The sequence below is a fragment of the Homo sapiens genome, chromosome 2, assembly GCF_000001405.40.
Source record: "Homo sapiens chromosome 2, GRCh38.p14 Primary Assembly".
Lineage (NCBI taxonomy): Eukaryota > Metazoa > Chordata > Mammalia > Primates > Hominidae > Homo > Homo sapiens.
In genome coordinates this window covers 178,919,713-178,935,631 of record NC_000002.12, presented here as the reverse complement: position 1 = coordinate 178,935,631, position 15,919 = coordinate 178,919,713, and the positions used below count along the sequence as shown (strand labels likewise).

Genomic DNA, 15,919 nt, shown 5'->3' with positions numbered 1-15,919 from the left:
ACCCAGAGGAATATAAATCATTCTACCATAAAGACACATGCATGTGAATGTTCACTGTAGCACTATTCACAACAGGGAAGACATAAAATGATCCTAAATGCCCATCAATGACAGATTGAATAAAGAAAATGTGGTACATATACACCATGGAATACTATGCAGCCATAAAAAAGAATGAGATCATGTCCTTTGCAGGAACATGGATGGAGCTGGAGGCTATTATCCTTAGCAAACTAATGCAGGAACAGAAAACAAAATACTGCATGTTTTCACATATAAGTGAGAGTCAAATCATGAGCACTTATGAACACAAAGAAGAAAACAATCGACACTGGGGTCTTCTTGAGGGTGGAGGATGGGGGAAGGAAGAGGAGCAGAAAAGATAACTATTGGGGACTGGGCTTAATACCTGGGTGATGAAATAATCTGTACAACAAACCCCGTGACAGGAGTTTACCTATGTAACAAACCTTCACTGTATCCCTGAACATAAAATAAAAGTTAAAAAAAAGAAAATGTTTGTGAAAGTATCCACATTTTAGTAGCGACTCCAAAAATATTGTTTTGTTTCCTTTCCCATCCATAGTGTAAACTTCCAAATAGTTTTTATCTGTGGTTTTTCAACAATCTAATTTCTTGTTCATGGAAAAGAAATTCAATTTTATGTGTCCTTAAATAGTAAGCAGCATATTACATTTTGGACTTTTGTTTGGGTGTGGATATGAGGCACAGAATAGGAAATGTTCCTTTCAAAGAAGATTTAACATAGAAATAAGGCATCAAGCTGAGGATTCATTAGTGAAGCTCCTATAAATAATGTGGTAACACAGAGAAAGCAGGTGTTCTCTGCTACCCACAGCTCAATTCAACAGCAGGAAGCTGGTGTATATGGCTTGTTAGTCTACTCAGTAAGTTCTTTCTAAGTAAACTTTGAAAATGCCTCTATCATTTCTTACTGGAATACATTCAGAACAAGAAACACAGCAACTTTCATAGCTCTTAATAAATGTGATACTTTATTCAGGATGTGTTGAAATAAATGAACTAAAGGATTTTTAAATACGACCTTTGACTCTGGGTAATTGTTTTAATTATACTTTCTTTACCGAATATGAAAATTCTTTTTTCTTTTGCATATATAAGAGACAATGAAATAGCAGACATGGATGATTATAAACCATCCTTTGGTTTAAAACCTTAAATACTCTTAAATTGTATTATAAATCAACTTGATGCCCCAAAGCTTGAATTCAACCTTTGAAACTCAGAATTTGTTGTAGGAGGTATTAAAATACTATGCAAACAAATACTTGCTAATTATTTTTTTTGAGAAGGCATAATCAGTCCTTCTCTTACACATCAGAAATAATGTTCGTATAATAGAACTCCCTTCAGGAACCAATCTGTACTTCTATAGCTTCAACCCTTGGTTAAGTTCAGGCCCTCTGTAGTTGGTGCCATGGGGAATGTGTGGGTTAGTGTTTCTCAACTCTGGCTGCACACTGGAGTCACCTGGGGGGTGTTGAAAAAAATACTGATGTCTGCATCTCATTCCTAGAGATTCTATGTAGGTTTTGGTGGGCATCCAGCCTAAAAAAAAATGTCAATCTTAAAATGTTGGAGTTTCTGTTAAAAAAGAAATCTAGATTTCCTGTTTCTTTAAAAAAACTAGAAGATTTGGCATTATCAGACTCATCTTCCCACATAGACATAGTGACTCCTGGCTGGAGCCCAGTAATACGTTTCTTTTAGAAAAGGTATGCACACATCAGTCTGCCACAGTCCTTAGTTTGCCACTATTCCTCATGACCTACCCCTCCTCTTACCCTTGCTTCACTCATTCACATTATGTGCCTGGCTGCTGTAAGCATTTGGATTTGAGACCAGATGGGCAATGAAATATCATCCAAGCAAAGTATAGCTTCAACTGATTTGCATTTTAGGAGATTACCTTGGAAACAATGTGAATGACAGTAATGGGAGGGAGACAGAAGACAGAAAATCACTTAAGAAACTACTGCGGTTTGAATGGGAGTGACTTTAGGAAAGGCATGATCTCTTTCGAGATGGAGGTTATTAATCTCCATCTTTAAGGCTTAAAGGAAACTTATAGCCTTGTTATTCAAGGTGTGACTCCCATAGAACAACAGCAACATCAGAGAGTTGTTAGAGATTAAGAATCTCAAATCCACCCATCACACTTATTGAATGAGACTGTGTTTTAACAAATTCCCCAAGAGGATTTGTATTCATGCTAAAATTTAAGAGGCACCAACTTAGACATTTTGCCCATGTGTTTCATGTATGTACATGTCCCTCTTAATTTTTATAGATGACTTCTTATATTGTTGTCTTATATTATGACATATATTGTTCATGAAGTTCTTGATTAATAATAATTTTTAAAGTTATGGGAGAGAAGCAAAACTGAAAATTGTGTATAGAAACATCATCTTAAATGTTTTAATATAGCAGCATTCACGTATCTCAGCCTCAAGATTAAAACCATCTTCCACAATTCATCATCTAATCCGATTTTCCAAGTCATTGAAAATATTTTCTAGTTGTTACTGAGTGATTTCATAAATTGGATTTGTGATCTTGGCCCCAAGTTCCTTCAAATAATATTATTTGGAGATCTTCAGAAAATACCAGTGCTTAGGTCCCACAGAAACTATAGTCAAAGGAAAGAGCTCAGTTTAAAGTTAAAAAATATTTATAAATATAGGATAAGGAAGTAAAGCAGAATCTCCCACAAGCTTATTTAAGTAATTTAAATGCATAATTGTCATCAGTAGAGCCAATGCAAGAAAGTCTCTTTCAAAATATGTTTATTGTTTTATTTTTCTGATTACACAGTACCTTCTCATTTTAGAAAAAATAGAAATGACATAAAACTAAACAAAAGAAAATTAAAATCACACCGTATGTGGGTGTATATGGAAATAGGAAAGAAATATAAAACAATTACATATGAGTGTTCCAAAATTGTGTATTGTGTGCACATATACACTATATGTGTGTATGTATACACAAAAAATTGTATGTGTTGTTTTTCAATGATTTTTTTCCAATTAACATTATATCATAAGCATTTCCTCATTTTAACACATATTTTAAATGTGTTTTCTAAGGATTACATGTTACCAAACCGTGTAGATATACATTATTTGAAGTGGCAACATATAGCATCTTAGACTACTTAGCAGAGAGTGAATGGGACACTCCCAGGCAGTATACAGCATGGCAGCCCTCAGGCAAGGGAATTGGAGTTAAATTTGAGCATCTCTGCTTACTTCTGATATAATCTTGGGCAAATTTCTTATGTATTTGGGCCTAGGTTCCAGTCCCTTTTTGTGAAAGGGGTAACAATTGTACCTAATTTACAGAGTTTGTTGTGAAGATTAAACGTGGTTGTATATAACAGTTTTGTGTGCATGTGTGTGTGTTTTTTTGTTTTTGTTTTTGTTTTTTGAGACTGCGTCTCACTCTGTCACCTAGGCTGGAGTGCAGTGGCACAATCATGGCTTATTCAGGCTCTGCCTCCTAGGTTCAAGCAATTCTCTTGCCTCAGCCTCTTGAGTAGCTGGGATTACAAGCATGCATAACCATGCCCCAGCTAATTTTTAGTAGAGACGGGGTTTCATCATGTTGGCCAGGCTGGTCTCGAACTCCTCACCTCAAGTGAACTGCCCTCCTCAGCCTCCCAAAGTGCAGGGATTACACGCGTGAGTCACCATATCTGGCCATATATAACAGTTCTTAGCACAATGCCTCACACAACAGAAACACAACATAATATGGGCTTTAAGAAAAAATGGTAAAGTAAATATTACATAAAATTTATCATTAGTGACATTTAGTAAATTCACAGTATTGTGTAACTATCATGGCTACCTAGTTCAGAATATTTTCATAACTCCAAAAAGAAACACCACACTCATTAAGCAGTCAATCTTCATTCCTCTCTCCCCTCGGCCCCTGACAACCACTAATCTGCTTTCTGTGTCCATGTATTTACCTATTCTGGAAATACCATTAAATAAAATAATATTTAATGGCTTTTTGTGTCTGAATTCTTTCACTTTGCATGTTTTTCAGGTCTATCCATGTTGCAGCATGTATTAAAACTTCCTTTTTATGGCTGAATAATATTCCATTGTATGGATATACCACCTTTCATTTAGCCATTCCTCAGTTGATAGGCATTTGGGTTGTTTTCACCTTTTTCTAGTGTTAATAGTGCTGCTATGAACATTCATGTATATGGGTTTTTTTTGAATACCTCTTTTCAATTCTTTTGGGTAATACCTAGGAGTAGAATTGCTAGACCATGTGGTATTTCTGTACTTAACTTACAAGAAGTTACTATGCTATTTTTCCATAGCAGCTGCTCTGTTTTATATTTCTACCAGAAAGGTAGAAGATTCCAATTTCTCTACATCCTCTTCAGCACTTGTTATTTTTCATTTTGTTTGATTTTTATAGTCGTCATAGTCTGCATGAAGTGCTAGTTCATTGTGATTCTTACTTGCATTTCCCTAATAACTAATGATGTTGCAGATCTTTTCATTTACTGGCTGACCATTTGTATATCTTCTGTGAAAAAATGTCTATTCAAGCCCTTTGACCAAAATGTTCTTTGATAAGTAAAAGTTTTAATTTTGATAAAGTTTTATTTATCTATCTTAAATTTTTTGCTATGTTTTTGGTGTCATATCTAAGAAACCATCATCAAATCCAAAATTATGAAAATTTATCCCTTATGTTTTCTTCTAAGAATTTGATGGCTTTAGTGTATGTATTTAGATCTTTGTTCCATTTTGAGTTAAATTTTGTGTATGGTGTGAGGTAAGGGTCTAACTTCATTAGTTTGCATGTGGATATTCAATTGTCCCTGCACAATTTGTTGGAAAAAAATATTCTTTCTCTGTTGAAGGACTTTGGCACACTCACTGAAAATTAATTGACCACAGATGTGTGGGTTTATTTCTGGACTCTTCTATTCTGTAAATCTATATGTCTATCTTCATGCCAGTTTGACACACTGCTTTGATTACTGTAGGATTGTAGTAAGTTTTAAAATCTGGAAGTATAAGTTCTCTAATTTTCTTCTTATTTATCATGATTGTTTTGGCTATTCAGGGTCCTTTCCAATTCCACATTAATATTAGGATCAGCATTTCCATTTCTTCAAAAAAGGCCAGTGAGATTCTGATAGGGATTGCATTGTATCCCTACAGTACTTTGGGGAGTATTGCCATCTTAACAACATTAAGTTCTCCAATTCATGATCATGTGATATCTTGCCATTTATTTAGGTTTTTCATTTTTTAACAATGTTTTGTAATTTTCCTTGTATAAGTTTTCCATCTCCTTGATTAAATTTATTCCTAGGTATTTTACTTTTTTTGATGCTACCATGAATGAAATCATTTTCTTAATTTCCTTTTCAGGTTGTTCAATGCTATTCTATAGAAACACAAGTGATTTTTTTTTAACGTTGATTTTATACTCTCCAACTTTACTGATTTAATTTATTTGCTTTAATTTTTAAAAATTATTCCTTAGGGTTTTCTGCATGTACGATCATATCATCTGCAAGTTTCCCCTTCTATATTCTTTGTTCACTTGTGTTTTGCTCATCTGTCTAGTTGTAAAAAGCTGCTACTTCAGTGTATTCTAGACCAGAGCTTCTCAAACTACAGTGTACTCATGAATTACCCATATATTTTAAAGGCAGATTCTGATTCATCAGCTTTAGAGTGGGGCCTTAGTATCTACATTACTAACAATCTCCAGGGTAATGATGCTGCTGGTCTCGGGGCTCCCTTTTGGATAACAAAGGTTATGAGGGAAATAATTGCACAATGAAAGAGAGTGTAAGTGATAGAGTCAGAATACTGGGTCATTGTTAAAACTCAGAAGATATAAGTCAAAATAAATCTTTGAGTCTCTTAAGGTGTGGACATGTTTGACCAAGCTTACAACTTAATTTTTTTGTTGTTGTTTGTATTTAGTCCTAGATACATTACTGAGGTAATTGAAGATCAAAAGACAAGTATTTAAATGTTCTGTTTATCTTCAAAAATAGGAATATTTCCTCAGAAGTAGCACTTATATTTATTAAAAAAGGAGCTACTTATACGTCTCGTGGGTAGTTAAAGAGGTATGTAGCAATATCCAGAGTTTGTATAATCATAGTGTCCAGGATATCCACATATTTTCCAAGTGTTTCACAGGCATTGTTGAACAATTTTCTTCTCATTGCTGCATTTATTAACCTGTATAAAAAAGCAGACGCTTCTGCTATTTGAACTTTCATTACCTCCCCAAATTCCTTCACCAAAGGTATGTGAAAAAATTGTAAAATCACTATAAAATATATTGCTTCAGTAAATCAGCTCACATATCTGATGATTACAAAGAAAATCAATAAAATGAAAGAGAGTCTGTTTTATAATGTTTCATCTAATTTAAAAAATAAAGTGGGGTCTGAATCTGAAATGTCTCAAGGCAGAAATTAAATGAGTTCTCCAAAGAGTAAGACACCTGCATCAGAGCATTTCAATTCCCCTGTCTTCATTTTAGTGAATAATTTGTTTTACTTGTCTGATTCTTTAATGAACTTTCCAGGTAAAAGCAGATGTCATTTTTCACAGAACATAAATTAGAAATCATTTTATTACTAACATGCAAAATATATACAAATAGTATTGAATTTGCCAGCAAGCATTGGGAATGTCCACATAATGATGGGGTTTTCATATTGGTAACCCTATTCTAGCCTTAATTTGCAGCTCAATTTAAAGCTTAGTGAACCCTGTGTTTTAATTTCCAAGGGAAAGCTGAATTTAGAAAGTCCCTCCAAAATGTTTTTGCCCATCTAAGAAAGGGCTGAGTTAAGAAAGCAAATAAAGAACATTGTGCTCTATGATCTATGATCATGAGGTTTAAAACTACCTGCTGTTATTTTGCTTACAGAATCTTTACCAGCTCGTTAAGTTTAAATGCTTAGAAAAGTATTTTTAGTTTTGACTTTTACAAAAATTCCTCATATATCTTTTTTTTTCCTGGCATTTGTCAGCCCTTAAATAAAATGTCCCGGAAAGCATGGCTTTTTACAGTTAATACTATTATATTGCATGGTATTTTGCTATCATGATAATAAGAGTGAAATTGAATCCACTTTAAGTGAACACCTGAGAGGACTTCTTATACCTTAACACAGTCAATCTGTGAACCGCCTACAACCTTCCTGTGCTAATTTAGCCATTTAGTGACTTATTTAATGCCCTAGCCTTCGCTGTCCTTGACCTTCTTTACTCCAAAGGCCTATTTTCAGCTAGCTTCAGCTTCCCACTCCTGTGGCCACCACACTTTGTTTTATGACATCACCCAAAACTGCACTCATCACAACCTCCCTGCCTTCTGTCTTTTCCTGGCCTCTGTCCTTGTGCTACTCAGCGTGGACCACCAGGACTGTTGTGAGTAAACTCAGTCACCCGGTTTCTCTGTTTCTTCCTAATTCTGAAACAATTAGCATAATTATTCTGATTGGTTCTATTTAAAATGTAATTTATCTGTTACCAGTTAGCCTTACAAATCCCTTTATTTATCATCTGTTAATTCCCTGCTCCATTCCCCATAACAACTAGTCCAAAACCTTCGTGCTCTTTTAAAATTCTCAACCACTATGGAGCCAGGCTTTAACTAACCTCAAAGTCGCCTAGTCACACAGAGTGAAATTGCTTGTTCTTTTCTTCGGTGCCCAGACTTTTTGTCTCTTCGTTGCTTCTCTCTTTTACTTCTCTTTCTCCTCATTTCTGGGAGAAATGGATCCTATTCTAGATCTCACTGGTTCTATCTCCTATTCACTTTATATCTCTTTTCATTCTTAATAACTCATTTTTCTGTCACCCTTCACTCCCCACCCCACCTCCACTCCTTTTTTGCCTGGATAACTCCCACAGCTTGTTTGAGGTCTCAGCTCAGATATTGCTTCCTATAGGAAACTCTTATTAATTCTCCAGACACCATTAGCTCCATTGCTCTATGATCCAGAATCGTCCTCCACATTCTCTTGATAACACCGACCCCCTTGCTTCAGTGCTCTGGCTCGAGCTGTCTCTCCTGCTTGGGACATGGTGTGTCATCCTTGCTCTCTCCCCAGGCCCACCTCTACGCTCACCAGCTGAAATCCCTGCACGTATTTAAGACCCAATAAGACGGCTTCTCAGATACCCCAAAGCAGAAACTGATTTCACTTTCTGCTACACACTCGTTTTGCTTCCTGTTTGAGCTTGTGTTCATAAAAGGTGCTGAATAATGCTTTTTAGATGGTTCCACATTCAGTGTAGGAGAGTTATGGAATGCCCATCCCAGTATCATTTGCAGCTGGTTCACAGATTATTGAGTATAGAATGAGAGTCCTGTGCATATACTTAGTGGTGAGCTGAAAACCAGAGCCTGCAAAAAGATGAGTTGAAAAAATTCTAGCTTTCAGTGAATTTTGTTAGAAGACAAGTGATTTCTTCCATACCATTAGAGGTAAGGATTTTTCCTATAATAGAGTACATAGCTATTATAAATATAGTTACACAAATTTTACAAGGAAGGTAAAAATAACCACATGGGCATATAGACAATTTTGGGAAAGAAAAACCTGATCATATTTTTTACCTTTTCTTAGCTTTTTTCTTTAAAGTGACACATAATAATTGTACATATTTATGGGGTACATAGTGATGTTCCAATGCATATAACATATGTATGTATATCAGATTGGGCTAATTACAAATCCATCATCTCAAACATTTATCATTTCTCTGTGTTGGGAACATCCAATATCCTTTCTTCTAGCTATTTGAAAATATATATTATGGTCATCCTACAGTGTTATAGAACATTAGAACTTGTTCTTTATATCCAGCTGTACTTTTGGATCCTTTTCCCTTTTAAATTAGTGGCACCTTTGTTGAGACAATGATGTGAATGAAGAAAGTAGGAAGAAATGCGTCAGTTTCATCTTTATGAATTAAGACTAATGATATCCAATATTGCACAGGGCTGTTTAAACTCCTGATGGATTGGTGTAACAATCATTCAAGGCGCCTAAGGGTGAGGATTTTGTTTATTTGTCATTCTATCTTCCACAGGCTAGCTCAATACTTATTGAGTGAATGAAGTAATTTGTAAAACTAAAGTTAAATTTTAGATTTAGAAGTCATTAATCCAATAATGTAATTTTCAGAGTCAAGTTAGTTGAAAGTTTTAAGGTTTAAACTACTATTTTTATAGAATCTATCTTCCAATTTTTGGTATAATTATATATCAATTATTCTAAATCAAATATTACCTATTCATTAAATACCTTAGAATATTCTGGATCAGTGGTTCCAAAATTTGTCTGATTGTAAGTGTCATTTCCTTGTCCGTGATTGCAAATAAAATGCTTCAGATTTTTTTTTAAATCCTTATTTTTTTCACCCTACCAATATAAATTATGATTCAGTGGATAGGGGGTGAGCCTGGAAATATGTGTTTTTAAAACTTTCCCAGGAGATAATAACAGCCAATCAGATTTAAGAGCCTTTTTAAAAAAGTCTATATTTGAGGTTTATTGTGGATAAAACATAAACAGACCCTCCCTTCTATTAAGTTAGCCTATTTCATTTAGGGAAATCACCACAAAAGGTAAACATCACAACCTAATAATTTCCCCTGTAGCTGAGTTAGATGTGTTGAGATCCTGAAATGGATCTCAATGGATTGTGTAGACAATGAAAAAGTAAGTCCTCCGAGAACATTAAGATAAACTAGGACCACCTGGTCAGTCCATGGCACAATCTGATTGTAGGCAAATTGTGTTAGATGCAAGTATTTTGGCCAGCTAGACTTTTATTAAATTTAATTTAAAATGGAAACACCAACCAGGCTCTGTTACTTAACTAGAAGAAAACGTGATTAATAGGAACAAGAAATCTAAGAAAAACAGGGACAAGACACTAAAGAAGAAAATGGTTCTTGGAATACACAAATCTTGGGAATATTTTCCCCAGAATTCCTGTGTAATTAAATTTTCATCTATGTTGAACCAAGGAAGAAAGAAGAAATGCATTTGTGCTCCAATCACTATTTTGAAGATTTGTTTATGAGCACAGTGTGTTGTGATTTCATTTTCAAATTGTATTTTGCCACATAGCCATTTGCTTCAGTATTTATTAGCAACAAGCACCCTGTGCTTCACGCTGCTAAAGTGCTGCTTAGTGGGTCCACTCAGTGGCCAAACACCGAAGAGAATAAGGGAAACAAGAGATTTCCAAGTCATAGGCTATTTTCCTGCAACTTTAAAAATATCTGAATGAACTAAAATAAACGAACTAAATATCTAACACTAAAATATCTAAATGAACTAAGATAAGAAAGCAGCAGCTAATACTCAGAAATTAATTTGGTGATATCTGTCACTTCTATTATAGACTTGCAATTCCAATTCTGGTAAGGTTGATTTCTGGATCAAACAGCCAGTATCCCACATTTTAGGAGGGCATGAAATCCAGGAACTTGAAGCACAGCTAATTTGTCACTGAATTAACAGATGAGTCACTAGAGAAGCAGAAATGTACCAACTGGTGGTGACTGTCATTGCACTGAAGTAAAAGCAAGGCTCAAAAAGCAAAATCTTCTTCCTGAAGCTACTTAACAAGCTTGGAATAAAAAGTGTACCACTCTAGCTGGAGTTCTTTGCTCTTACCCACAAGCTCTCCCTGGTTCAGTCGCAATGATTTTCTACCATATGTCTGGGAGGTGAAACAGCACACTTCTTTCATCTCTAGGTGAAATGCTAAATCACAGTTCTTCCTGTTTGCAATCTGTGCCTTTGCTGGACTGCATCATAGTGAGGGTGAAGTTTAAATGGCGTGTAGACACTGAACTCAGCAAGCATGGGAGACTGAGGCAAGACACTTCTCTCCAGAATGACCCTGACATTTGTATAGGTCAGCATAGAAATGCCCCTGAAGGGAGCATGAGAAGAGACTACCACCCAATTTATAATCCAACTTGACATAATCAGAGTTTCAACTTCTAAAGGGCTCAATGCCACTCTTCAAAAGCATAAACATTTCTGTAAAAAAAAAAAATCTTAAGCAGACTTTCAAATATTCTATGATTAAAATTGCCAGGTTTGTTTTACCATCTGTTAATACAATCATGTAAAATTCTATGATTTTGTGTCAATGAGTTAATTCTAGTTGTTCTGAATGGAACTGTAGACTTGAGGGTTAAACAAGAAATAGGCTATGTCTAATGAGATGGTCTAGGAATCAGCCATGCTTTGGGAACTATACATGAACTCAACACATGCTTCTCCCAGATTTGATTTTGGCCAGTAATCTCCACAGTTAATATTTTTTAGTAGTTTTCAAATATATTCCCAATTGTTTTTTGGTCCACCTTTCCCCCACTTAAAACTTATATTCTGAAGTCAAGCTTATAACGAAAATTTACCACCTGATGTTGAATGGTTAAAATCCCCTCATACACAGGGAAGTTTTTGTGTGAGCAAAAGCTTACTAAACATACTGTAGTTATTATTATTTTTTCTTTTCAGTTGGAGCAGCTAACATTCTTACTTTTTGGATCTGCTTGCTGGATAATTGTTATGCCAGTTCATAACTTCATTTAAAGAGCTAAGCTAGGACTAGCAGTGGGGGGAAGGAAAGAAGAAATCTTTTTCGCCTTCTTGTCTGTCAGCACTAATCCTCTTAAAAGTACCCTTTCAATCAAGGGATCCAAGAAAAGCTCAATTTCCTCAGGAAATGGAATACTGAAAGGTACAGTTAAAAAGGTTCCTACTGTGAGTGAAAAATGAAAATAACGGAGTGACCTATGGAGACACCACAAACCTGGAAACACACAGGGCCTCACGTCTGTATCGGGTCGGAGATACGCACGCATCTCTGTCAAATTGAAAAGCCAAGGAAATGGAAGGCTTTGGCTTTCTGCTGGTGGGGACAAGTACTGGAAATATTTTATTGCAAAGTGACTGAGACCCTGTTAGAAGTTTAACACTTCGCAGGCAGGCAGCAACGGCTTAGAGAAAACAGAACGAGATTTTCTCCATTGGGCTCCTCTAGCCTTGACAAGGGTGACAACTATATTTTTTAAATAGTGTGATGGATTCAAATTGCTCTGGAAAGTTTCATCTTAAAAATAAACTGGTGGGGCCGGGCGCGGTGGCTCACGCCTGTAATCCCAGCACTTTGGGAGGCCGAGGCGGGCGGATCACGAGGTCAGGAGATCGAGACCATCCCGGCTAAAATGGTGAAACCCCGTCTCTACTAAAAATACAAAAAATTAGCCGGGCGTAGTGGCGGGCGCCTGTAGTCCCAGCTACTTGGGAGGCTGAGGCAGGAGAATGGCGTGAACCCGGGAGGCGGAGCTTGCAGTGAGCCGAGATCCCGCCACTGCACTCCAGCCTGGGCGACAGAGCGAGACTCCGTCTCAAAAAAAAAAAAAGAAAAAAAAAAAATAAACTGGTGGAAGTGTCCCCTATGAAAAATGGCTGGGGAAATAAATACATTACCAGAATGGTAGAGAAATGCATCAGAAACTGCCTATAGATTGCCCAAAGAAAACAGAACCAATTTTCTGAGAAGATTGAACAGAAATACTGAATGGACCCAGCTTCATTTAATACCCACAGAGTTCATGTGAAAATGTAATTAAGAAGACTGGGGATGGAGAACAAAAAAAGATAAGAGCCACAAAATGGCCCCTTACAGTTTCTTTGGAAGGTCACAGTAAACTTTTTATAGCACAGTGCCAAGCACAAGGTTAAAGTGGGTTTTCAAAGGCTTGGCTCTACTCCAAAGGTCTTTCTTTAATGTTGTCTGCAAAATTTATACTGAAGGCAGATTTATGAAATCGCTGGAGAACAGGTATTTCTCTTCTTGTTTATTATTTTGGTCCAGTTGCTAAGCAAAACTAAGTCTAAGTTTGGGCTGTAAATTTTCAACTATATCTATATTAGCTTTGTGTTTATTCTGAAATAGCGAGCCTTCTGATTTCAAATCTGAGAATCCCAGGGTCATACAAGATTTTTATCACCTCCGAGGTCTTGTCCAGGCCATGTGGAAGTTTTACCTAGGCAATTCCAAAATAATATGGTTAATCATTCTTTGATGAGAAAAACAGTGTGTCAAGACTGAGAAGAGCTGGGCTGGAAATCTGGTTGAGATAGCAGATTGTAGAGTCAAACTACCTGAGTTTGAAATTTGGCTCTTTCTCTTACTAATGTTGACATCTTGGGCAAGTTGGTAATCTCCCTTGGCCCCAGTTACTCCATCTGTAAAATGAAGATAATAACAGTTCCTACCTCATAAGGATATGATAAAAATTAAATGACATAATGCATGTAAAGCATTTAGCACACCACTAACATACAGAAAGAAAAATCAACCCTTACCATCTTGCAGACAGTTAAGACAACATCCTAGAGCTTAGTGTTGTTAGACTGAGCACGCAATGGCTATATTTCATTTCTTCATATCCTAACTTCTGCATTTTCCTTGCCCCTGTTTTTCTAGGCCCTCCCCAGCTTCTCCATATTCATTAAGTAGTCTCCCCTAATCGCACAGAAAGTTCTGATCAATGCCAAATCTTTTTAAAGAATTACCTGCTTTATTCTGCATCTTTACACATTATTTCTCCACCTGAGTTTGAGTATTAATGCCCCACAGATCTGAACAGACAGAAGAAGAAAGGATGGTACAAAGAGAGGAAATGAACTAACAGAGGAGCTGGAGAACAGGGACAAAACAAAGAACGAAACAGAAAGACTTGTGGGAGCTGGTGAACCCAGTTGGTGATTCAGCTGCTCTTAGCTATAGAACGTTTTTCCCCAACATTGTTCCAACTGGAGCATTGGTCCCCTGAGATGACTACAAACAGTTTATTAATCAAAAGAGTTTGCCCAAAATATTCCACACCACACTTTCCTCTAGGAGAGTCTCAATGCACATTAATACATTAAAGATGCCAAGAAGTACTGCAGTAAAAAAAAACAAAAACAAACGAAAACCACAAAAAAAAACCTGTTTTACTTTGTTTCATCTCATAAGACTGTTCAATACTTAACACTAATCAATAACATTTTGGGAAATATTTCACTGCCATTATTTTACAAGTGGGTAATGGGAATACCCATAAATAAAGAACACATTTGGAGAGCTAATGAACCAAAACTGATGCTCAGAAAAGTGGGACTAACACTTAGTGAGTGCCTATTATGTGTGCCAGAAATTGTACTGTTTTAAAAATATTTGCTCATTCCCAGTAGGTTAAAGTAATGGTTTTTAAGTGGTAACGGTAATAAAAGTGCTTTATGAAAGAACATCTTGGCACATATTAGTTTTCCTTAAGTGGGGACACAATAGCTCTTTAAAAATTGAAAGATCTTGAGAACTCACGTAGCCCATATCCATGCTTAAGAGTGCTGCTTTTGCATGCACTGAGAAATTGCAGATTTTGGAGTCTATCCTCAGTTCCCTGGAAGGTAGCATGAGACAAAGACCTGTGAACTAGTCCTGGTACTGCCTCTTACTGGATACGTAACCTTGAGTAGCATACTCTTCTGAACCTATGTCAATACTAGAAAAAATAATAATATCTAATTTAAGGGTTTTTGAGGATTATAGTTATAAGCCACAATTTTATATAACTGATACTTCAAATAATTCAAATTTCTTACTCTACATTTTATACTCCTGTATTCATTGATCAAAATGTTTTTCTTTTGCACCTAAAACTATAACAGTTTCCATGGACACCACAAAATAATATGTACAGTTTCTATCTTAACATCTGCTAATTGTTATTTAAAATACTATTGTATTGAGTGTGTGTGTGTGTGTGTGTGTGTGTGTGTGTGTATGGAGTTCAGTGACATGATCACAATTCACTGCAGCCTCAACTTCCTGGTCTCAAGCGATCCTCCTACCTCAGCCCCACCGAGTAGCTGGAACTACAAGCATGCGCCACTATGCCCAGCTAATTTTTTGCATTTTTTGTAGAGACAGGGTTTTGCCATGTTGCCCAGGCTGGTCTCAAACTCCTGGGCTCATGCCATCTGCTTGCCTTGGCCTCCCAAAGTGCTGGGATTACAAACGTGAGCCACCACACAAGCCATTTTATTCTTTCTTTATATTCCCCAAGGCATCTGTCTTAGCATAGTGCTGGGGACATAGTAGTACCATAGTAGTTACTTTGTAAAATGAATGAATGGAAACAATAATGGCAAATTGCACTAAAATTGTGCTGATTTTACACAATGTAATATAACAAATGTAACTTAATAATAGGATACTTTGTACTGGTAGAACAAGGCAGGATGGAGTCAGACTGAGACTTCTGAAATCTTGTGCTAAATTTTCCACGCTTCACAAGTAGCCTATGCCTATCACTCAACCGCAGCTTATATGGATACCAGAAGATTCACTAACAAGACAGTCATGTTAGAGATAATCATTCTTTTATGACAGTGGGTCTGACTTCAGGACTTTTGCAAGAAACTTGAATTTCCCTTCAAATAAATTGAATGTAAATATGTTTGGTTTACTCCAACTCATATTTTAATTCTGTTTAATGTTTTTCCATTCTCATGCAACAAAAAGTAAAAAGCTACCTCTTTTCATTTTCTGAAAGGTCTATATACCATTAAGAGTGAAGCCTTGAGAGGTGAAACCGATATCATGAAGGAGAAAATACCGAACAATAACAGCTATTCATTTTATGAGGAGTAACAGAACTTCATTTTATTAGGTTGGTGCAAAGGTAATTACTTTTAATGGCAAAAACCACAATTACCTTTGTACCAACCTAATAGCTGTAATTGTAGGCAGACACAAAAACAACA

General features: G+C 36.2%; 1 protein-coding gene and 1 long non-coding RNA gene across 22 annotated transcripts in view, besides 1 other annotated feature; one reads left to right on the top strand and one right to left on the bottom strand.

Annotated features, from left to right (window-relative positions):
* CCDC141 (coiled-coil domain containing 141) overlaps window positions 1-15,919 on the top strand; it is a 235,160-nt gene that overhangs the window by 114,506 nt on the left and 104,735 nt on the right. The window lies entirely within an intron of this gene.
* Window positions 7,339-7,388: an enhancer, noted in NCBI's record as "active region_16812". NCBI's record gives its function as "activates an Ori minimal core promoter by ATAC-STARR-seq in GM12878 lymphoblastoid cells {active_cell/tissue: GM12878}" and the evidence as "EXISTENCE:reporter gene assay evidence [ECO:0000049][PMID:35858748]".
* LOC105373766 (uncharacterized) overlaps window positions 13,274-15,919 on the bottom strand; it is a 39,495-nt gene continuing 36,849 nt past the window's right edge. For both annotated transcript variants that reach the window (XR_001739140.2, XR_001739139.2), the window contains one exon: window positions 13,274-13,351. This is a non-coding gene — a long non-coding RNA (uncharacterized LOC105373766). The remainder of the gene's footprint in view (window positions 13,352-15,919) is intronic.